Source organism: Homo sapiens, chromosome 7 (assembly GCF_000001405.40).
Source record: "Homo sapiens chromosome 7, GRCh38.p14 Primary Assembly".
NCBI classification, from domain to species: domain Eukaryota; kingdom Metazoa; phylum Chordata; class Mammalia; order Primates; family Hominidae; genus Homo; species Homo sapiens.
In genome coordinates this window covers 122,550,289-122,574,549 of record NC_000007.14, presented here as the reverse complement: position 1 = coordinate 122,574,549, position 24,261 = coordinate 122,550,289, and the positions used below count along the sequence as shown (strand labels likewise).

The window sequence follows — 24,261 nt, the reverse complement described above, 5'->3', positions numbered from 1 at the left end:
CACTGGTTGTTTTTAGTGATGATGGAATTTAGAAACTAACATTCTACATATGTATCAACACTTCTTAGTTGAGAAATATACTTTTTTTTTTTTTTTTTTTTTTTAAGACAGGGTCTCACTCTATCACCCAGGCTGGAGTACGGTGGCACAATCGTGGCTCACTGCAGCCTCCACCTGCTAGGCTCAAGAGATCTTCCTACCTCAGCTTCCAGAGTATCTGAGGCCATAGGTGTATGCCACCGTGCTGGGCAAATTTTTAGATTTTTTGGTAGAACAAGGATTTACTATGTTGCCAAGAGTGGTCTCAAACTCCTGAACTCAAGAAATCCTCCCACCTCAGCCCCCCAGATTGCTTGGATTCCTGGCATGAGCCACTGTTCCCAGCCCAAGAAATACACATTTTTTTTTAAAACATGAGTTTACTGCTTCTCAACGACATCAATATATTTACTCATTTTGCGTAAATAATTTCAAAAATACCGTGTCAGTGCCACCACCAACAAACTTACATAGTAAAGATAAACATTTTTTTTGCCATTTGATTTGTCTTTAGAATGTATTCCAGTAAGTGTGTATGTCTGAATACTCTGTTCAAAAGTAACCCAGTGCAATAGAAGATAAAATTTCTTATTTTTATTCTTACAGTGAAAACCATTTGAAGAAATTGCAGGTTCAGTCATTGCAGAGATTTTTCAGAAATCAAATATTATTTAAGCTAAAGTATTTTTATACATAGTCATTTTAGACATACAGTTTATATCATTTTATAAAATGTTTGAATCTTCTTAGGGTACTATCTGGCTGCCAGTGCACTTTTATTTGTGAATGAATTACTGTGTAATATATTCCTGGTAACTATTTAGTTTGTTGAATGGTATTCTTGAGTACAAAGTACATTTTGGGTATTTTACCAAAATGATTTTTTAATTTTAGAAATGTTGCTATGAAAACATTCTTTCTGACAGTTGTTAGAAAAAGAGCTGCCTGAAGAGGGTTTTTTGTTTGTTTTTGTTATGTTTTGTTTTTGACGGTCTCACTCTGTTGCCCAGGCCGGAGAGCATGGCTTACTGCAGCCTCAATTTCCCAGGCTCAAGCGATCCTCCCACCTCAGCCTCCCAAGTTGCTGGGACTACTGTTGTATGCCACTATGCCCAGCCAATTTTTTGTTTTGTATAGAGATGGAGTCTCACAATGTTTCGAGGCTGGTCTTGAACTCCTGGGCTCAAGTGATCCTCCCATCCCAACCTCCCAAAGTGTAGGGATTACAGGCATGAGCCACTATGCCTGGTCAGAGAAGGTTGTAAAAAGATTCAGTTTCTAGGTCCAAGCATTTCCTTTAGTTGGTTTGGGGTATGCCAAGGAGGGAGTATTTTAAACACTTCCAAGGGGATGCTAATGTGCATACAGAGTTGAGAAGCACTGGTATAAATAGCATCATTGACACAAATGTGCGGACAGGTTCAGAACCTAGTGACTCTTTGTTGTAAGAAAAATATCATAACCTGTAGGTTTGTGAAATGATAGCTCAAATTTCGTAGACATTGGGCAGTTGAAGGTTATATTATTTGGCAAGTACTTGGCATGCAAATTTTGTTTGTGGATGGCAGATGCAAATACCTATTTACGGAAATAGAGGTGGCATATGGAGATTTTTCATCCGAATTGATGGCCAACCCTCCACCAGGTGCTAAGGGAATACCTGGAGGCAGAACAAGGATTTTTTCTCAGGAAACAATTATGATTATGTCCTAGCAGGTAAACAGCTGACCAGTCAAGCATCCCTAAGTATATAGTTTATCATAATGAAGATAATTTTGTCCTGAAAAACTTGAAAAGCAAGTTTTGCCTAACATAGCCATATAAAAATCTAAATAGCAGTCCCAAGGGACATCTATTTGTGGGCAATGCATTTTCCATTGAGTCTTTCACAGTGAAATATTGGGTAGTATATACTCCTGGGTAACTCTTTAACTTGATAAAGGGTCATCTTCAGTACAAAAAAATTTTTGGAGGGTTTGCCAAAATAACTTTTCTTTCATTTTAGAAATTTTGCTATAAAAACATTTCTACAAACAGAAGGAACCTATTGTCCATTAATAGATTGAGTTCATGGCCTTAATACCACATCTTCAGTATATACAGAAGGATGCTGAGTCCTCTGCTTCCATGGGGATGGGGAAAGCATAGATAAAACTATAAAGTCTCATGAAGAATTGCTATCTGAAAGGATTTAAGGAGGAAGGATAACTTTTCTGTGATTTTAAGAAAAGTTGTACCACAAATATAAAAGTCTCCTATATATGAAGAGTTGAATTAGACATACATAGGATGCAAAAGAATTTCCATTCCATCTTGCAGCATATGATATTAATTCACTAGGTAAAGCATCAGTCAGTCATTTAGTGCTGTTTCAATAAAATTAGCCATTAAATTTTGCTTTCAAATTGAAGAAAAATACCTGTGATTATGATTTCACGAGGAGCTTCTCTAATGTTTTCTTCATTCACATGTAGATATATAATGCTGGCATTCTTAAATCCCCAATATAAATTTTGTCTGTGAGAGTTAAGGAAAGGCCTAAAGTGATTATTAATTTTTTTGTAATTATTTGTGAAAAATTAGTATAGTTAATTATTCAATAAAACATCTTTAATCTACTCCTCATCTGTTACTTCATAAGTTTTTTAGAAGTTCCATGATAACTACTTATAAACTAGATAATTAGAGAAAAAATTTTAATTCCGTGGTCCAGTTACATGTATTGGCTACATATGGCTTAAATCCTTTCAGATAGCAATTCTTCATGAGACTTTATAATCATATCTCAGTCACCACACCAGTGACGAAGCAGGAGCGCAGACAGGGAAAGGTCCAGGGCTAATTCACATAAGATGCAAATTCTTTCTAATTAGGTCTGGCTTATTAATCACATGCTTTGAAGTGTTATGGGTTTCTACCTGTCATTCCATGCCTGACTTTGAAAGTTGTTGCTCGGTGTGTCTGCCTTGGTCATTCTCTGAGAAGTTGGCCTGAGTCTTCACTGTAGAGGTAGAGGAAAGTATTTCTTTCCTTATCACCACTTACAGGGGCTGATCATATTATGCACAGCATCCTCTATGGTGTCCTTTGTAGGTGATTATAGTAAAAGTAGTTGACATTTTACTATTTCCTCAGAATAATAGAGGTTTTCCTCTGTCTCGGGTAGAACAAATGTTAGACATGTACACTGTACTAATGCCTTCTAATAGGTATATATTGTTATTTCATTATGGTTTTAATTGGCACTTAGCAAAAACACTAATGATGTTTAGCATCTTTTTGCCATCTGCAGCTTTTCTTTTGTGAAGAATCTGTTCAAATATTTTCCCCAGTTTTTAACTGGGTTGCTTGTTTTCTCATTTTTGAATTTGGAAAGGTCATATTATTTATACCTTCTTTATGAGAGTGTGATATAAATACTTTTCTCTCAGTCTTTGGCTTGTCCTGTTATTCTCTTTTTTAAATTTTTTTATTATTATTATACTTTAAGTTTTAGGGTACATATGCACAATGTGCAGGTTAGTTACATATGTATACATGTGCCATGCTGGTGTGCTGCACCCATTAACTCGTCACTTAGCATTAGGTATATCTCCTAATGCTATCCCTCCCCGCTCCCCCGACCTCACAACAGTCTCCAGAGTGTGATGTTCCCCTTCCTGTGTCCATGTGTTCTCATTGTTCAATTCCCATCTATGAATGAGAACATGTGGTGTTTGGTTTTTTGTCCTTGCGATAGTTTACTGAGAATGATGATTTCCAATTTCATCCATGTCCCTATAAAGGACATGAACTCATCATTTTTTATGGCTGCATAGTATTCTATGGTGTATATGTGCCACATTTTCTTAATCCAGTCTATCATTGTTGGACATTTGGGTTGGTTCCAAGTCTTTGCTATTGTGAATAGTGCCACAATAAACATACATGTGCATGTGTCTTTATAGCAGCATGATTTATAGTCCTTTGGGTATATACCCAGTAATGGGATGGCTGGGTCAAATGGTATTTCTAGTTCTAGATCCCTGAGGAATCGCCACACTGACTTCCACAATGGTTGAACTAGTTTACAGTCCCACCAACAGTGTAAAAGTGTTCCTATTTCTCCACATCCTCTCCAGCACCTGTTGTTTCCTGACTTTTTAATGATTGCCATTCTAACTGGTGTGAGATGGTATCTCATTGTGGTTTTGATTTCAATTTCTCTGATGGTCAGTGACGATGAGCATTTTTTCATGTGTCTTTTGGCTGCATAAATGTCTTCTTTTGAGAAGTGTCTGTTCATCTCCTTTGCCCACTTTTTGATGGGCTTGTTTGTTTTTTTCTTGTAAATTTGTTTGAGTTCATTGTAGATTCTGGATATTAGCCCTTCGTCAGATGAGTAGGTTGCGAAAATTTTCTCCCATTCTGTAGGTTGCCTGTTCACTCTGATGGTAGTTTCTTTTGTTGTGCAGAAGCTCTTTAGTTTAATTAGATCCCATTTGTCAATTTTGGCTTTTGTTGCCATTGCTTTTGGTGTTTTAGACATGAAGTCCTTGCCCACGCCTGTGTCCTGAATGGTATTGCCTAGGTTTTCTTCTAGGGTTTTTATGGTTTTAGGTCTAACGTTTAAGTCTTTAATCCATCTTGAATTGATTTTTGTATAAGGTGTAAGGAAGGGATCCAGTTTCAGCTTTCTCCATATGGCTAGCCAGTTTTCCCAGCACCATTTATTAAATAGGGAATCCTTTCCCCATTGCTTGTTTTTCTCAGGTTTGTCAAAGATCAGATAGTTGTAGGTATGTGGCGTTATTTCTGAGGGCTCTGTTCTGTTCCATTGATCTATATCTCTGTTTTGGTACCAGTACCATGCTGTTTTGGTTACTGTAGCCTTGTAGTATAGTTTGAAGTCAGGTAGTGTGATGCCTCCAGCTTTGTTCTTTTGGCTTAGGATTGTCTTGGCAATGCAGGCTCTTTTTTGGTTCCATATGAACTTTAAAGTAGTTTTTTCCAATTCTGTGAAGAAAGTCATTGGTAGCTTGATGGGGATGGCATTGAATCTATAAATTACCTTGGGCATTATGGCCATTTTCACGGTATTGATTCTTCCTATCCACGAGCATGGAATGGTCTTCCATTTGTTTGTATCTTCTTTTATTTCCTTGAGCAGTGGTTTGTAGTTCTCCTTGAAGAGGTCCTTCACATCCCTTGTAAGCTGGATTCCTAAGTATTTTATTCTCTTTGAAGCAGTTGTGAATGGGAGTTCACTCATGATTTGGCTCTCTGTTTGTCTGTTATTGGTGTATAAGAATGCTTGTTATTTTTGCACATTGATTTTGTATCCTGAGACTTTGCTGAAGTTGCTTATCAGCTTAAGGAGATTTTGGGCTGAGATGATGGGGTTTTCTAGATATACAATCATGTCGTCTGCAAACAGGGACAATTTGACTTCCTCTTTTCCTAATTGGATACACTTTCTTTCTTTCTCCTGCCTAATTGCCCTGGCCAGAACTTCCAACACTATGTTGAATAGGAGTGGTGAGAGAGGGCATCCCTGTCTTGTGCCAGTTTTCAAAGGGAATGCTTCCAGTTTTTGCCCATTCAATATGATATTGGCTGTGGGTTTGTCATAGATAGCTCTCGTTATTCTCTTAATCATATTTCAAAGAACAAAAATTTTTAATTTTGATTAAGTCCAATTTATGATTTTTTTCTTTTTGGCTCAGGTTCTTGGTGCTGTATCTAAGAAATCTTCACCAAACCCAAAGTTGGAATTCTCCTCTGTTTTCTTCTAGAAGCTGTATAGTTTTAGATTTTTACATTTAGTCTTTGATTTATTTTTAGTTAATTTTCAGATCTAGAGCTACATATAGATCAAAGTTTTTATTTGAACATGTTGTTCTAGCACAGTCTGTTGAAATGCTTTCTCCACTGAATTTACTTAACATCTTTGTGAAAAATCAATTATCTATATATCTGTAAGCCTATTCCTGGACTCTCTATTCTGTCCCATTGAGCTCTTTGGTGTAAATATTATATTATATAGCTATTAGGTATTGAAATATCTTGCTATAGTTTTGTATTTGTTTTATCTTTTTTTGCCTCATGTTTTATGAATATCTGATATGGCAGTGTATAGATAGATGGGATTACGATTTCCTTCTCATTAACTGATCTTTTATCATTATGAAATGACCTTCTTTATCCCTGGTAGTATACTTTACTTTAAAAATCTACTTTATCTTAGCTGCCTCAGCTTTCTTTTTGTTGTTATTGTTGTTGTTATTTTTGTTTTTGTAGAGATGGGGTTTTGCCGTGTTGCCCAGGCTGGTCTTGAACTCCTGAGCTCAAGCAGTCCACCCACCTTGGCCTCCCAAAGTGCTGGGATTATAGGCATGAGCCACTGTGCCCAGCCCCCAGCTTTCTTTTGACTAGTATTAGCATGTTCTATTTTTCCCATTTTTTAATCTATTTGTTTCTTTACACTTAGACTATATTTCTTGAAGCAACATATAATTGTGTCTTTATTATCCATTCTGACACACCTCTGCCTTTTAACTGGGTTATTTCAATTATATTTTAATATGAATATTGATATGGTTAAGCTTAAATCTGTCATTTAGATGTTTTTTCTTTCTCTTCTGTTATCCCGTTTCTCCTCTTCTGCTTTTTTTAGGTTGAATGTTCTTTAAGATTCTAGTTTTTCTTCTTTGTTGCTCTGTTACTGATAAATGTCTTGTTATTTTATGTTGTTTTAACTCATCAGAGGCTAAGTCAAGTAATATTATAACATTTAATGTATATTTAAGAACCTTACAATATTATACCTCTAGTTCTTCCCTCCCATCATTTGAGTTATTGTTATGCATTGTACATTGTACTTTTACATATGTTACAAACCCACACTACATTGTTTTTACATTCTTTAAATGGTTAGTTATCTTTTAAACTAGTGTCACATAGTCATCTTTAGGTTCAGAAAAGGTTTAGAAGATTGTACATTTATTTAACAATTGTTGCTTTGAACAAAATCAGAATTGTTTCAGGAAGAAAAAAAGGGGATGTTCAGGAAGCTGGTAGGGGTGTCCTGCATGTGTGCATCACACCAAAGTCGATGCTTTTGTAATCCTTAGGACAAATAAAACAAACAACCTAGCCAGAATAGTCAGTGCCTTTTTTCATATAAATTAAAAGCTGAGTATCTAGTGATGGGAGAGTAGAGGTTATCTTTCAAGGTGCTGATGGGATTGAGTTCGCTGCAAACTGTACTTCCTAAGTCAGTGAAACTGAAATTTTATGTTCAGCTGAATTTTGAAGAAAAGCTACTAGATAAATTAGTTTAGTTTTTACATAATTCATGTGATATTTTATCTATAATTAATTAAGAAACAAAACTAACTGTTATTTCTGGCTATTTCTGTTTTATTGGTTAGTAGAATTTGGAGTTTAAAAGGACACTGGAGCTCACTTAATCCAATCTCTTCACTTTCCAGATAAAGCAACTGTGGCACAAAGATGCAAATTAAATTTTTCCAGTTCATAGTGGCATCTACTGTATTGTTATCCTTTTGAGGGTAAGGCCATGGACATATTATGCACTTTAGCAACAGCAGCTGTCTAGCAGTTTCTGACTCACAGTGTATGTCCAATTAATGTTGGAGGGATAGGTGAACAAATGAATAAATCTGAAATGTGCTTAATTTGGTTTCATTTCTCCTATGCAAAGTTATGCTAGAAAGCAGAATTAGTTACTTTTGTTTGGATGCCTGATATCCCTAATCAAGTAATAAACTAGAACAACAATTATAGAATAATGTACAATTTGGATCCTACAGCGAGTGAAGTTCTAGTATGTTTAGTCTTCTACCTGAAATAGAAGTAAATTGAAACATTCTCAAGTGTATTACTAAGCTCTTTTAGTCACTATATTAATAAAATAAGTCCTGTGTATCTCAGAGCTATTCAAAGTCACTTTAGAATATCCACCCCATTTTATTCATTCACTGATGGACATTTAGGTTGATTTCATATCTTGGCTATTGTCAATAAAGCTGCAATGAACATTGGAGTGCAGATATCTCTTCTATATACAGATTTCATTTCCTTTGGATATATACCTTAAAGTGGGATTTCTGAATCATATAGTAATTCTACTTTTACTTTTTTTGAGGAACCTGCATACTGTTTTCTGAAATGGCTATATTAATGCACATTCCTACCAACAATATGCAAGGGTTCCCTTTCCCCCACATCCTCACCAATGCTTATCTTTTATCTTGTTGATAATAGCCATTCTTATCTTTTATCTTGTTGGTAATAGCCATTCAGGTGTGAGGTGGTTTTATTTGCGTTTCCCTGATGATTAGCGATGTTGAGCATTTCTTTCATATATGCAGTAGGATTTTATTCGGCCTTAAAAACTGAAGAAATCTTGTCATTTAATCAAGCTGGGAGACATTGTGCTAAATGAAATATGCCAAGCACAGAAAGACAGATACCACATGATGTCACTTACATGTAGAATCTAAAAAGGCCAAACTCTTAGAAGCAGAGAGTAGGATGGTGGTTACCAGGGTCATAGGCATGGAGGGGATGAGGAATGGGAAGATGTTGGCCAAAGGCTACAAAGTTTTCGTTAAGATGAATCAGTCCCAGAAATCTGTTGTATGGCATGGTGACTATAGTTAATAATCATGAATTATACGCTTGAAAATTTGCTAAGAGAATATATCTTAAATGTTCTCAGTACATACACAAAAACTATGTTAGATGGATATTAAAACATGTTGTATAGTGTAAATATGTATAATTTTGTCAAGTATACCTCAATAAAGCTGGAAAAAAATATTTACCTCTGTTGCCTTTAGCAGTGGTATGAGAAAACACTCTTATTCCCTGATGGTTTGTATTATATGCGTTGTATGAGTCAAGAACTCCTTAGATCAGAAGAGCAGGATTCAAATTAGTTGGTTATTCAGCATGACAAACTGAAAACTTTGAAACCTGATTTTGAAGACATTAATTCTGGTATTGGCTCTGCCATAGTAGCCATGAGGCCATGAACAAGTCACATAACATCTCTTCTGCCCATGAATCATTCCATGTCCTGACCTTATTCCCCACTATCTTCCTGTGTTATTTACTTTTCTGAATTTATTTGATTTTTTGAGCATATGAAAATGTATCGCAGAGATTTCTCAACCTCATACTCCCTGTCCATCTTCCTTTCCCATTGCTTAAGTGACTACTGACTAGTTTGCATACATATAAAATGGCAAATTGGGAAGTTTTTTTTTTTTTAATTCTATAAATTCAGGGGGTATAAGTGCAGTCGTGTTACATGGTTATACTGCATAGCGGTGAAGTCTGGGCTTTTAGTGTACCCATTACCTGAATAGTGATCATCATATCGAGTAAGTAATTTTTCAGTGCTCACCCTCCTTTCCCACTGCCCCCTTTTGGAGTCTCCAGTGTCTATTATTCCCTTCCTCTCCATATATCTATGTATACCCATTGTTTCACTCCCATTTGTGAGAACATGCTGTATTTGACTTTCTGTTTCTGAATTATTTCACTTAGGATAATGGCCTCCAGCTCCATCCATGTTGCTGTAAAAGACATAATTTCATTCTCTCTTATGTCTGGGTAGTGTTTTGTGTGTGTGTGTGTGTGTGTGTGTGTGTGCATGTGTGTGTATGTGTGTGTCTGTGTACACACATATGTTTATGCAATTAAAAATTTTATGCAGTTATCTGTTGATAGACATTTTGGTTGATTCTATGACTTTGTTATTGTGACTAACGCTGTGATAAACGTAGGCATGCAGGTGTCTTTTTGATATACTGATTTCTTTTACTTTGGGTACTTAGTAGTGGGATTGCTGGATCTAATGATATTTCTATTTTTAGTTCTTTAAGAAATCTCCAGCCAGGTATGGTGGCTCACACCTGTAATCCCAGCACTTTGGGAGTCCGAGGTAGGTGGATCACGAGGTTAGGAGTTGGAGACTAGCCTGGCCAGTATGGTGAAAATGGATCTCTAATAAAAGTACAAAAATTAGCCAGGCATGGTGGTGTGCACCTGTAGTCCCAGCTACTCCGGAGGCTGAGGCAGGAGAATTGCTTGAACCTAGGAGGCAGAGGTTGCAGTGAGCCAAGATCATGCCACTGCACTCCAGCCTGCCTGGGCAACAGAGTGAGACTCCATCTCTAAATAAATAAATAAATAAATAAGAAATTTCCATACTGTTTTCCATAGAGGTTGTACTAATTTACATTCCCACCAACAGTATATAAGTATTCCAACTTGGAAAGGTTTTCATTAGTGTTATTTTGGTACATTATTATGTTGTGATTGTTAGACCTTGCATGGATCCCTTATTCATATGAAGAACAAGAGCTCACCTTCACAGTTTAAGGTGGTACAGGTTGAGTATCCCTTATCCAAAGTGCAACCAGAAGTATTCTAGTTTTTTTATTTTTTCAGAATTTGGAATATTTTTATTATACTTAATGGTTGATCATCCCTAATCCAAAAATTTGATATCCAAAATGCTCCAATGAGCATTTCCTTTAGGCACGACCTTTGAGTACCATATGGATGCTCAAAAAGTTTAGGGTTTTGGAGCATTTCTGATTTTGGATTTTCAGGTTAGGAATGCACAACCTGTAGTTGGTTTTTAATTTAAATACCCACATCTATCAGTAGTCCATGAATTAGCTAGCCAATCCCAAAACATTTTGCCATAACTTTATGTTCCATGCTCTTCACTTTAAGGATACAGCTAAAATAATTGTCCAAGTCTAGATATTGTTTATACCTCCCTCTTTTCCATCCGACCACCGTATGTTATGGATTGACTGACATTGAATTGGCTCTAAAAATTCTTATTGTACTTAATAACCAAAGATTAAGAACAAAACTAAATTTGTTATATTTATGAAATAATTAAGGAGATAATATGTTGAATTGAGGGGGGCGATATAAAATTGAAAGTGTCTGTTGTTATCTTGAAGTGATTTGAAGTGATTTGCCTCTAGATATTTATTTAACTTCAGTGCCAAGTTTACATAACAAAATAGTGCCTACCTTTGAGGGGTGATGTGGGAATTGATTTAAATTTCACAAAGCATTCCAAGACACTCAGTTGATAGATTCTCCATAAATGGCAAGCATTATTATAATCAGACTAGTAAAAAGAAAAATGATAAAGCTACTCAAGCAGTATCCTCTAATAGAAACTGTTTTGATAAAGTAATGTAAAGGTTATGCTATTCATAATTTATGGCTGAGGGCAATAGATCAAGAATAGTGATGCTTTCCTGTCTATATACATATTAAAAACACAGATATAGCTGTGTTGGAGTATATTGCTCTATCTAAGAAGGATGAAATCAATACCTTATAAACAAGAAAAGTGATCTATGTATATTAATAAAAGACACTATCCTTAATTGAGCCTTGAAAAATACAGTGACTGACAAACTTGATTATGTCTTTTGGAATCTTCAAGAAAGGCTTTGAAATAGCAGAAATAATTCTTAATCGTTAGGTTGTGTGGAACTTGAACTTTGTTAGTAATATAAACATAATGGTCTTCATTCTGGTAACCAAAATAATCAGCTTCATTGTTAAACCTTTAAAAAAATTTTTCAGTTTATTGTAAGAAAAGTCAAAACTTTAACTACATTAATACAAAATGAGAGAAAATTAAGCATTTCAAAATATTTTTTACAAGCAGAATGCTTCAGGTGTGTGCAAGATATAAGCACACACAAAGTAAGCAAAGCTGATGATAGAAATCAATATGTAAAAATATCTTTAAATCACACACTTATGAGGAGAAATTTAAAAGGTAAATTTAATTTTCCTTTATGATGAAATTTTAGCTTTCATTGTCTACACATTAGTTTCTTGTTGCTGCTGCAACAGTTTACCAAAAACTTAGTGACTTAAAACAATATAAATTTGTTATCTTATAGTTCTGAAGTCAGAAGTTCAAAATGGATCTCTGTGAGCTAAAATCAAGCTCTCAGCAGGGTTCTGTTCCTTTCTAGATGCTCTAGAGGATAATCTGTTTGTTGTGTGTTTTGTTTTGCCTTTTCCCATTTCTGCGGGTTGCCTACATTCTTTGACTTGTTTCTCTCTTCAATTATGAAGCTAGTAATGGCTGGTCAAGTCCTTTTCACATCAACACTGACTCTTCTGCCTTCCTCTGCCGTGTTTCAGAACCCTTGTGATTGTATTGGGCCCACCTGGATAGGTGAATAATTGCCTAGTTAGCAATCTTAATTTCACCTGCTACCTTAATTCTCCTTTGCCATTTAAGGTAAAAACATATTCACAAGTCCTGGGGATTAGGATCTGGGCATCTTTGGGAAGCCAGTATTCTACCTGTTACATTCCAGATATGGAAGGATGAAAGTTTCATAGATTTTGAGAGACTGTTAAGTAAACAACACACTGTAGAATTAATTACCATCATTCTCTGTTATCAAATTTTGGCAGTAATTTAGTTATCAAGACTTTTTCTCTTTTCACCACAGTGAAGTATTAATTTTAGGTTTACATTTTTATTTCTAATTTTTCTAAGCATCCACCCACCCATTCATTCATCCATCCATCTTTCCAGCCAATCATCCAACCAACAAATACTTGGTGAGTGTTTACAATAGACTGTGAAGGAAACTGTGATTAAGAAGGCTTAGAGATTTTTTTAAAATGGTAACAGTCAAGAAATGGATATGTTAATTAGCTTGACTGTAGTGATCAGTTCACTATGTATCAGAACATCAGGATGCATACTTTAAATATAGTAATTTCAATAAAAAACTGGTGAAAAAAAATGTCTTAAAGATACTCATTTAAGTGACTCTATGTGGTACAAATGAATTACCCTGTCTACTACACAATAGCTCTTGCTCTCAAGGAGCGTAGACTACTAACGGCTTGCCTAATGCCCCCTTCATATCATTATTAAATAGAGATGTCAGGAAAAACTGGAGAATGATTGACACATCTTACTTTTCTTTTCCTTGCTTTATCCTTAATCCTCCCATCATGCAAATAACAAAGCTTCTAATCTTGATCTTTTAACAAGCTAATGTCAAGGAAAATATATCCACTTAGGATAATACTTTGTTTTTCTTCTACCCCATTTTGTTTTTTCAAAAAAAGGCCTTTCTTGTTTAAAAAAAAAAGTGTATAGAAGGAAGGAGATGTGGTGTGTGGTTCTCTGTTGGGCCAAGTACACATTTGGTAAAAGGTTGGGAGTTTGAATAATTGCATATTGTAAATTCCAAAATTCTTTCCAGCTTTGAAAATAAAAGAACTCAATTTAGCCCATGGAAAATAAGGTTGACAAGATTTAATGCTAATCTTTCAGTATACAAAAGAGCACTGTGTCTGTAAGAGTGAGCAGGTGTTCTTTGTTTTCACTAAGTAGGACAGGAAGCCATGATATTAAATCAAATAAGAAATAATTTAGATTTAGCAACCTCAAGTGTATTAAAACACGAGAAACTGTTACTAAGGAATAATATAGATTTCCCTTAGACAAATCATCTGATCCATCTTCACATACTATAAGGGTTCTGATATTGGGGCAAATATTAATATATGTGGTTATTAACATCTGCTAAATAAATACTGAAGTGAAAAAAACTTCAGGTAGTCCTTTCATAATATATGCTACCTCAAGGTTCTACACTCTCAAGAAGGTATTTGAAAGATTTGCTAGAGACTGTCTTTATGAATCTTTGCTAAAGTATAAAATCTCTGTCAATTGAAAGAGAAAAAGAAACATCAACTAAACCCAAAAAGTCAAGGTTTCTTGTAGAGATAGGCTCTACTTATCTGGAAAGATGTTCCCTCAGCCATTTGCCTAAAATATCCTTTGTCTCAAGGACACCTGTTTGTAAGCAGAAGTGATTTTTAATCAAAAATTGAACCATGATTTCTGCTAATTGTGTTTTTAGTTCCTTCTTCCTCTGTTTGAGGCTAGTTCATCACTTAGTTGGATATGAGAAACCTGATCATTGAGTCACATGACTCATCTCTGAGATGTATGTAGCTAGAGAGAGGGGAATTATTCTTTACTTGAGTATGAAAATTTGATTTTCATTCTCTGGTTTGTAAACATTGTTTTACTAAATGTTACCTATATAGGATAACACACGCTTAGCAAAACACATTTCTTACAGTCTATCCCTAATCTTCCATAATTACTGGTTTTATCCATAAGCTTAACCTTCTGGTATCTCCTTCAACCTACCTTCTTGTATCTCCTTCAACCTACCTGTCTGTATTGTCATCCTCCCTGCCTTTACACACAGTAACCTTCTAGCCAAAATGATTTTGCCCAACTTACCTGATTTTGCCAACTTAAACCTTAAATGAAGTCTTATTCTATTCCTCAAACATGATATGTCCCTCACACCATTGCTATCTGGCCGCAACTAAACTTTTTCCTGCTCAGGTCTCCAGTCACCTCTCTCTTTTTTAACCAGGCAATAGCCTTTCAGACCCAACAATGTGCAGCCTCTTGATCCCCATGTGACCCTGATGCCCCCTTCCTACTACCTAAAAAACTCTCCCCCTTAAATTTGGTACATCACAAACTTCAGCTTTCTTCTGCCTCCTTGGTGACTGGTCTCAGTTATAGAGTCTTGTCCCTTTTCCTAACTCTAGAAAGGTGGTGCCCAGAGGGTTCTCGGGTTATCTTCTCTCTTTTTCTTTTCCTTTTTTTTTTTTTTTTTTTTTTGAGGTGGAGTCTCGCACTGTCACCCAGGCTGGAGTGCAATGGCACAGTCTCGGCTCACTGCAACCTCTGCCTCCTGGGTTCAAGCTATTCTCCTGTCTCAGCCTCCCAAGTAGCTGGGATTACAGGCACCCGCCACCATGCCTGACTAATTTTTTGTATTTTTAGTAGAGACGAGGTTTCACTATGTTGGTCAGGCTGGTCTCAAACTCCTGGCCTCGTGATCCACCTGCCTCGGCTTCCCAAAAGTGCTGGGATTACAGGCATGAGCCACCGCACCTGGCCCTCTCTTCTTATCTTTTAAGAACATAAAGAGAATTGACATGGCAGAAAATGTAATGAGTGTTTGTACTGATTGAAGTTCTTTTCGTGGAGAGCGGTGGAAACGGACTGAGGCTAAGTCCAGGGAACAGAGAAAAAGTTGAACAGCCAAGCTTGGGGAAGAGCTTGAGAACCTAGAGTAATGTTACAAATGTCAGCATTGGAATCATGTGTTTTTTTCTAGGGTGCCGCTGTTACAGTGTTTGGTTTCAACAGCCCCCATATCTTTATTTTTCATCCCCTACCCCATGTCAGCCTTATAAATCTTAGGTGTTCTTTTAGACTTCCAAGTGAAACTGTAATTCCTCTATGAAAGCTGTCATGATTTTTTCAAGAATTGCTGAATGCACTCATCTTTGAGCTAGAATTGTACCAACTGTGTGTCTGCTGTTTTGCCATAAGATATGGTGCAATTATTGTGGTCCCAGGGTCTTTTTTCCTTTCTCTAAGCTAAGAGACATATATGGGAGAAGGTAGTGAATTGTCTGTCTAGCCCCTCTGTTTTTCTAGCTTGTCTCCCCCAGCACCCAGTGCTGTTTTGTTTTTTGTTTTAGTTTTTCAGGTGCTTGTTGAAACAGAGTTTAGCAATTTAAATAGTCTTGATTTCACAGATCACAGAGTTTATGCACAAATGTATGTAGTTTGGCCTCAATCAGGTATCTCAGTAGAAAAGAAACAATGTAGAAGTGACAGCTTATATATTTTAAGAGAAAGCTACTTCTGAACCCCATATCACTCTAAACATTTCTGTGTGTAAATGTGTATTTTATATTTCATTTTTTTAAGTCTTAGTTTTTCCTCCTGTATATTAAATTTGATGGAATTTTTAACAAATCCTAAAAATCCATTTTGTGGTTTCCATTACACCTTAGCAAAGATGACAAGTGACACTGACATTTTATTATGAAGAAGATACATTAGCTTTATGTTTAAGACAAGAAATCATTTTTGTGCCATGCTGACAAGACATTTAAAGTGTTGGTGACAAAAATAAATGAGAAGAAGCAGAAATGCATACGGAAAGGTTAAGAGAAACGAATGGTAAAGAACAAAATAGTTTGCTAAATAATATTAAAAGTTATTTGTACAGAGCTATAGTTTAATTTAAATGCGAATTTAGGATACAGAAGGATCCTTAGTAAGCTTTTATATCTGTTAAATATTTTAATTATTATGACTGTCAACATCAGACACAATCTCTAAACATGAACTGAGTCCTATTGAAGTGGAACTGCTTCTAATAAAAAAAAACAATTCTTCATTATTTACTTTTGAAAGATTTTGAAACAAAATACCTTGTTGATATACTAGTTAGGATACTGCTAAATGCTATAACAAGAAAGTCGTTACATTTCAATAATTCAAAATAATATCAGGTTTGTAAGAGTTTACCACAGGTATTCCTGATAGAAGTGTGACTTTCTTCCACATGGTGATTTAGGGCTCTGATTTCTTTCGTTTCCTAGGTATTGGTGTTCTCTGAACTTGGCTGGCAGTGGAATAAAGTGGGGTAAAGACATCAAACCTGTATCTTGATCACCTTTTCCCAAGGTGACACATGTCACCTTTAACAAGAACTTTCATATGTCCCTACTTAGAAGCAGGAGGAGCTAGAAAACCTGGTTGTTGGCTAATTAGCTGTTTACTAGCAACAGTTCTATACTGGTGAAAGCATGAATCGTGGCAAATAGCCAGCCGGTGTGCCATAGTTCACCCTTGTGGCCACCAAGTTGTTTTGTTGCCTTTCTTCCTAAACCTAGAACACATTCACCTTATCTCAAGAGAAACAGCCCAAAGTCCTATTTCATTTTTATATCCAGTCCAATATCTGTGTCACAGCTAGCAGTGGCCCTTTGCAGGCTGGAAACCTGTGAACTAAAGTTCATGGTAACTGCCTACGACATCTTCCCTCCCCATTCTGCCTCAGGATAAATCCAATATACAGTAACGGAACAGGGACAGGAGAGCTATGGGTAAGTTTGCCACGTGGAAAAAGGAAAAATGGGAAACGCATGGCAGTAATTGTCCAATTACAATAATGAAATCCTATCTGGCAGGCACTGTGAAGACACCCTGCCAAGGAAGTGTCCCAGATCTCTTGATTAGAGCTGTATTGTGTGTTCTGAAAAGAACTCCCTTGTCCTTTATTCTCCATGGCCCTCTGGGCTCTGCACCTTGGGAGCTGCTTCCTTATCTATTCATTCATGGCGAAATTGGATAAAGGAGTATGACCACTTTTTTGCTTGTGCAATTTGGGAGCCTGAAAACTATTTTACAGACCATTTTGAAGTTTAAGTTCAGCATTTATTTACCAATGCACTTCTCTTAGAAACAGAAGATTTCGTATCTGTGGACCTCCCCTTGTTACACGTGCCAATGTTCACACCTTTATCAGTCAGTCTGTCCAGAAAAACAAACATTCCCACGTCTTTCCAGTGGAGGGAACATAACATAGGGAATTAGATATACATATGATAGGGAGAAGCCAAGCAGATGATTGTGAATATACCCAGAAATTAACTAAATCAGGAAACCATTGCATACTCTAGGGAAAGAAGAGCAATAGGAAGAAGTGATATTATCAGAGCTAAGAGTGCTATTAATAAAAGACATAAACTAAGCCCTATTGAAGAGGAACTGAGCTCTTGAGAGATGTGAGCCATTCATGTTCTTTAATCTTTGTGTATCCTCACATAGTAAGAACTCAGTGTTTATTTAATTGAACAGAGCTGAGCAATAAATCCTTCCACTGACTTCAGTTAGAAATACCCATCAAAAAATAAAATGTGGCAGAAAAAATGGTATTCGATATTGGGATAGCCTTTAATTTGTGGATCAGCCAAAATCAGTTATTTTGGGACCTAATTTAGCAAGCCATCATCAGCATTTGCAGAATGAGAAATTGTCAAAAGTTTTAATTTAAATATTCCCTTCCTGTATAAGAGTTCAGAGTTTGGTACAATACCAATTTTTATATAAACATAGAAGGAAGAATTAAAAAACAATAAAGTCTGTAAGTGGCTCATGCCAAATAATTTTTTTAAAGTTGGTGTGGGGGATGGGTGTGGAGAAAGAGAAAAAGCTTTCCAGACTTATTAGGAAAATAGCAGCTATAGCTACAGAGGATATAGAGATCTATCTTAGTCTTTTATTCTTTTTTGGAATAATCTTCTAAGTTGATAATGATATTCCTTTGTCTACTGGTTTGAGCCAAAAGCTATCAGCTTATTTTTCTTTACTGTCACTTAAGAAAGAATCTGTAAAATATTACACTGGATATTTTAGCAGTCAAAATGAATTCTAGAGTATGATCATAATTGTGAAAACATTGTAAATGTCATTTAGTTTGTTCTTAGATGTCCTTTATATACTTGAGTATATAGATATGCTGGATTCAACACAGCTATGGCTTTATAGGAAGGACTTGAGAAAAGTCTCAAAATAGTAGATACATTTAACAACTTGCAAGTTGAGAATAGTTTGAGAAGCTTTTATGACTGTGTTGTCTTTCCTAGAGAGAAGGGGAGTCTTGCTTAAAGATTTCTCAGTGAAGATTTCTGCTTATACTGCAAATGAGGATTTGAGGGTAGGGGAAGGGCATGACAAAGTCAATTGCCATGAATGCTTTCAAAACATTTTAGTATTAGAATCTAAGAATAGAAGGCAGCCTTATTAAATTGGTAAAGACTATCCCTAACAACTTGAGACTGGACTTAGTTTTGTTATATTAAAGTAAAATTATAACAGTATTACAAAGAAATTTCAGATTCACAATCACTTTGTGTTGCCTCAAGATTTATGCACAAGAAGATATGTTTCAATATAGTTTTAATGAACATATTTATTTTGTTTGTGAAAAAATTAGAATACCTGAGAATGTTTATAATTCTTCCATTCATATCTAAACTTCAGGTTTATGGCTTAAAATATAATGCAGTGCACTTCACATATTTTGTATTTTAGCCTATACAAATGAGCATTCTCCCATTTAAAAATATTAAGGCTTAGATGTAAACTGTGCCTAAATATGTCATAACTGATTTTAAAAGGGGGAGAATACCTTGTGTTATCTGCATGGCACCTAACATCTGAAGAGTAGGCTTGTCTTTCCTGGGTTGATTCTGTGAAGTGAGGGTTGTGAAATAATCACTTGTCAATTTGGCAGTTTTGTTAAAAATAATTACTTTGTTTCAGTCATTATAATATCTATAGTTTTGAAAACATGTCAGGAAAAAGTCCTTCTTTGGTATTGATCTACAGCAGAAAATGTGCTGTTTTCCATCTCTAATTGAGTTGATTTCCTTTTATACTATTTTACAATGATAATATTAAAACATGAGGCATATTTGTGCTGTTTCAAATAATTGACTTTGGTTTTTAAGCATGTTATCCATAATGTCAAAGAATATCTTTCTGAACGGCTTTGCCCTGAGGAGTTTAGAATTTTCTTGAAATTATGGGTGTCTCTTGAGTATTTTTCAACGTCAATTCAACTGTGGCTTGTTGTGCTATTAATTCGTTATGAAGTGACACAGGAAGAAAACTCATTATGTGATAATGTGAAAACACATATTTGTCAAAAAAATAAATTGAGTCTGTATTGAAAATCCATCAGCTATTGTAGTAGGGAGTCAAATTGTTTATTGGATACATTTGGGTGTTGACATCATTTTTTCAAACAGGAAAACATAGAAAATATTTTAGTTCCAACCCATAGACACTCCGTATCATGCGTTTAAATGTGGGTTTTTTTTTCCATACAGGTGATATTATACCCAACTTCTAATAGCTCCAAATCAGCTGAATTACACCGAATGGTAGTTCCAAAAAATAGCCAGGATTCTGACTTAAAAATCAAACTGGCAGTGCGAATGGATAAACCAGCACATATGAAGCATAGTGGGTGAGTATAAATTTGAGGATTTTTTTCCTGAATTATTGAATTTCATTTCAGTGTATTATTTTTGTCAGTTTAGTGAGAGAACCAGTATAGCAGGCTTTCACATGGAGTTTTCTCAAAAAGTGACATACGTAAGTTATCTTACTCAATGTTTTTATACCCATAGACGGCTTTATAGCTCAATACATGAGTCCTTAGTTAAGATAACTGTATGCGAGCTACCACGATATTGGAACTTGATTGTGTTAGTATTACTCATCAGTCATATTGATACAGGGCACCAGGGCACTGATACCTTCTAAGAAACATTCTTCAAATTACAATAATAGTTGAAACAAGCTTAGCATTGAGGTTCCTAGAAATAGTTAAACTTCCATAGACTGTATAAAAACTAAAACATAGTGTAGATGTAACCCAACGAGGCTATATACATTTTAACAAGAGGGATATGAGTGTTGATCCAAACATGTGAGTGAGAATTGAATCAATATTGGAGAAAACTGCTACTGTTGCCTGGGGAAGAAATGCAGGGACTGTCTCCTGGGGATCACCAGGGGTCAGAGTCAGCCTTCATCTCTGCCAAGGTTCTTTGTCTGTTGCAGCTGGTGATGAAACAGGTCTGAACTCTTGAATAAAATGAATTGCCAAAAATCCAGGACTTCCTCAGAATAACACTTTGGACTTACTATGGCCAAATCCCAGCATAGGGGTATTAGCCATTAGGAAAGAAAAGGGGCCATTTTTCTTACTATGGAGAAAAGCAGTTGTTGAAGTGGCTTACCCTGAGTTAGTAGCAACAGACATAGAGGTCTAAGAAAGTGCATCCTTGTAACAAGCAGAGTCTGCTGGCATTAGGGCCCAATCACTAACATCAGGGTGGAGCGAACTGATGATTCAAAAAATGAGGAGGATTCTTTAGATGACCATTAGGGGAAACAAAGTTAGGCTCTGGGCAGGGGGAAACCCAAGGTATACATTACAGTTGGGATGGTGCTAAGGACTGTATTGCTTTTTGGTTTAGTAGGCAGCATGTGCAGTGTCAGAACAGACCTCACCAAAGGGAAAAAGTACATGAGAGGGTGGGCTCTTAGAAATGGAACCATGATTTGGATAAACAACATTATGCATCTTTAATGTAGTAATGTAAAGTCAAGTCTAACTATGACTCAGATTATAATGCACATGGAGTATCTGGGATTTAATATTTAATTCATGCATCCATCTACCTGCTCACCAGTAATTTATGCAGCAGGCATGTATTGAGCACTACTGTCTTCCAACTAGGACAAACTTTAATGTGATATTATTGCAGGCCTATAGGAACTGGCTAGTCAGGAATTCAGACTTGTATGCAAATAATTATGATAGTGATAAGTGCTGTAAGACAGAAATGGGAACCTGGGAGAAATAATACCTGATTTTTGCCAGGTATAGTGAATGAAAGTCTCACAGGACACCTGACTTTTGAGATAAAACTTGAAGGATAAATTTATCAGGTAGACAGTGGGAGAACTGGCATTCCAGCTACATGACAGCATGTACAAAGGCAGGGAGTCCTGGAAGGAGTTTTAGCTGATGATGACAAGTTCAGTGAAACTGTCATAGAGTGCTTTGAGACTAGAGAGAGTGCTAGTGCTCTAAAGTGCTTAGAGACTAGTAGAGTTACACATAAAAGAACACAGTATGTTCCAGGAACTGCAGTTGTTTCTCTACCCTTTTTCACTCAGTCCCTTTTTCTTTTGATGAATGGCACAATAATAAAAAAAAAAAAAAAAAACAGGAACCTATCATAGTGCCGAGATGACCCTAATTTACCCATGGCCAGTACTATGCCATGGTGAATACTCCTGGACCTTCAGCTTGTCTCAAGAACAAAGACTGAACATGCATAGGGCAGGTCCTGTAACCTTTAGCTCCAGTGGGAAGAAACCCTTGCTCTTACCTGGCAGTTCCTTGGTTTAGCATACTCCAGGATAGGTGAGACAATCCAGACCCCTTACAAGGCTTGATTTGGGGGTAGGGTATGTTTTTATCACATCTCTTTGACTAAATCAGTACCCCTAGAAAGGCCTGCAATTGCCTTCTGCCCAAGACTAAAGGTGAAGGAAAAGACTAAAGAGGATATATCATCGTCTCTTAATTTAATCCATAAAGCTCAGGAACTCACTGAAGGACACGGACCAGAAATGCCTCATAGCCCAATTATCTAACATTGCTAAGAGATACAGGCATTTCCAGATATTTAAATATCTCTTCAGTTTCTGATGTATACATTGAAGCAATGTTAGAACTGAAAATTATCTGTGATGATGTTATGCTAAGATAGTGTGTTATGTAGCAGAATTAAGAATATCATATTCCAAAATAGTGGTTCAATTAAAATATTTTAATACTAATATTAGAAGAATTAAACATTTTCAGCAATGCTATAATAGTAATTGCTCCCTATGGACAGGGACAGTTAGAGGTGCTTTAACCTAAGCATCTGTTCTGTTTTCTCAGTACCCATGTGGTAACAGTTTTAAACATTTTGAATAATACACCTGTGTGTAAACATGTATTGGCAAACATTTCACCTACAGCATAGCTATATTCGTCTTTTTCTGAGGTACTTCATCAATGGATTTTACTGCACTTAATTACATTTAAGAAGAGAAAGTAAGTTAATCTTTTTCTTCCAAGTATTCCATCATACACCAAAGCAATAACATAACAGGAATAGTAGATTAATAGCATTTCGCTTTGGGCCTGGATCGTGTTTTGTCAATCATTTCTCCTATAATCAATAATTAACAGATGGATAATAATTTTGAGAGACAAGTCAAGTTTTAAAAATATTAATTTATCTTTAAAATATAGCAAACTCCTGTTACAGATAGAGTTGTTAGGTGGATTAAAAATAAATTGGAGGATAATGGATTTTTATCTTCAGAGCACTTTAGACTTTGAAATCTTTAGGACTTCAGTAGTAAAAACCTATTCTCTGTTTTAATAATGTGGACGTCAAATAGATCTTTCTTGCGTGAACTATTGTAACATGTATTCTCTGTTTTATTCATTTATCACTTATCTATGGCCCCTAAAAAATATTTTTATCAATGTTATTTATATTTTTCTGTGTGTTCTCAACTGTACTCTAAGTTTCTTAGACCTATTTGAATTCTCAATGCCTCCCACAGTGTATAATCAGAGATAGATATTAATGTGAATAATGATGGTGAAAATGTAATATTGTGCTCCCTAGAGTATTAAGGGAAAAGTAATACAAATGAGAGTAAGCTTTATTCACAAATGGAACCTTAAAAGATTCTAAACACAGTTTATTGAGAATAGAACATAATTTTAATGTAAAAAAATGCCTAAAATAAATGAAATAAATGGTGTTTAGTTCTCAATGTTGCATTTTAATATGACTATTTTTTTAAACCAGAAGGTAAAATGCATCCAATCTAAAGCTCATGTTTCTGATAACTAATCAGTCCACGACTATATATTATAGTTTATTTAAGTAGGACTAACTACATGTAAATGAAAATAGATATTTAATTTGGATCAAATAAGCATAACTATGATTCCATCCTTTTAAAACCAAACTGGGCATTACCACAAGACGTATATTTAGCAAAAACTTGAGTTTATTTATTCTTTTGGAATATGTCATCTAAACTAATTATAGAAACTAACCCTTAGATAAATCTATTGAACAAATTACCAGCTATGTTTTGAATGGTTAAATGATTCACATCCAGCTTTTGAATTTATTTTCCTGGTTTGTGTGTGTGTGTGTGTCTGTAGCATGAAGATAGAAGTGTTCTTGAACAAATGGGCTATACCTTAGCATAGCCTAGTGGCTAAGTAACAGTATTAACTTAAAACTCAAATAACTATTCCTGTTTTTATTAAATAAAATTATTTTCCTAATTCAAAGGTTACTTTCTCAACCAAAAAAAGTAAAATAAAATGGAACTAATAAATGACTGTTATGACAATTAAATCTATAACTGAAAAAGAGAAAATTGGCTTTCACAAATATGTGGAAGCATTATGACCATGATCTATGAGAAGTCTGCATGCAACTGATTACTTTTATAGTAAAAATAGAGTTTCGTAACTATATAACTATAATAGAAGACTTTTATCATAGTTTCTAATTGGTAAGATAAAATTTTAGCAAAACTACTCTGAGATGAATCTCATATTTCTCTTTGTGTAGAGTCATGCTTGGCTATTTACACATTTTGTTGAATGAACGGATGGATTAAAA

General features: G+C 35.5%; 1 protein-coding gene and 1 long non-coding RNA gene across 30 annotated transcripts in view; one reads left to right on the top strand and one right to left on the bottom strand.

Annotated features, from left to right (window-relative positions):
• The window catches only part of CADPS2 (calcium dependent secretion activator 2), a 568,050-nt gene that overhangs the window by 311,911 nt on the left and 231,878 nt on the right, over window positions 1–24,261 (top strand). For all 29 annotated transcript variants that reach the window (NM_001363398.2, NM_001009571.4, XM_047421032.1 and 26 more), the window contains one exon: window positions 19,861–20,000. In NM_001363398.2, the coding sequence (NP_001350327.1) occupies window positions 19,861–20,000 (140 nt within the window). The remainder of the gene's footprint in view (window positions 1–19,860; window positions 20,001–24,261) is intronic.
• The window catches only part of LOC105375481 (uncharacterized), a 35,791-nt gene continuing 22,557 nt past the window's right edge, over window positions 11,028–24,261 (bottom strand). The window contains exon 4 of the long non-coding RNA XR_001745347.2: window positions 11,028–11,206. This is a non-coding gene — a long non-coding RNA (uncharacterized LOC105375481). The remainder of the gene's footprint in view (window positions 11,207–24,261) is intronic.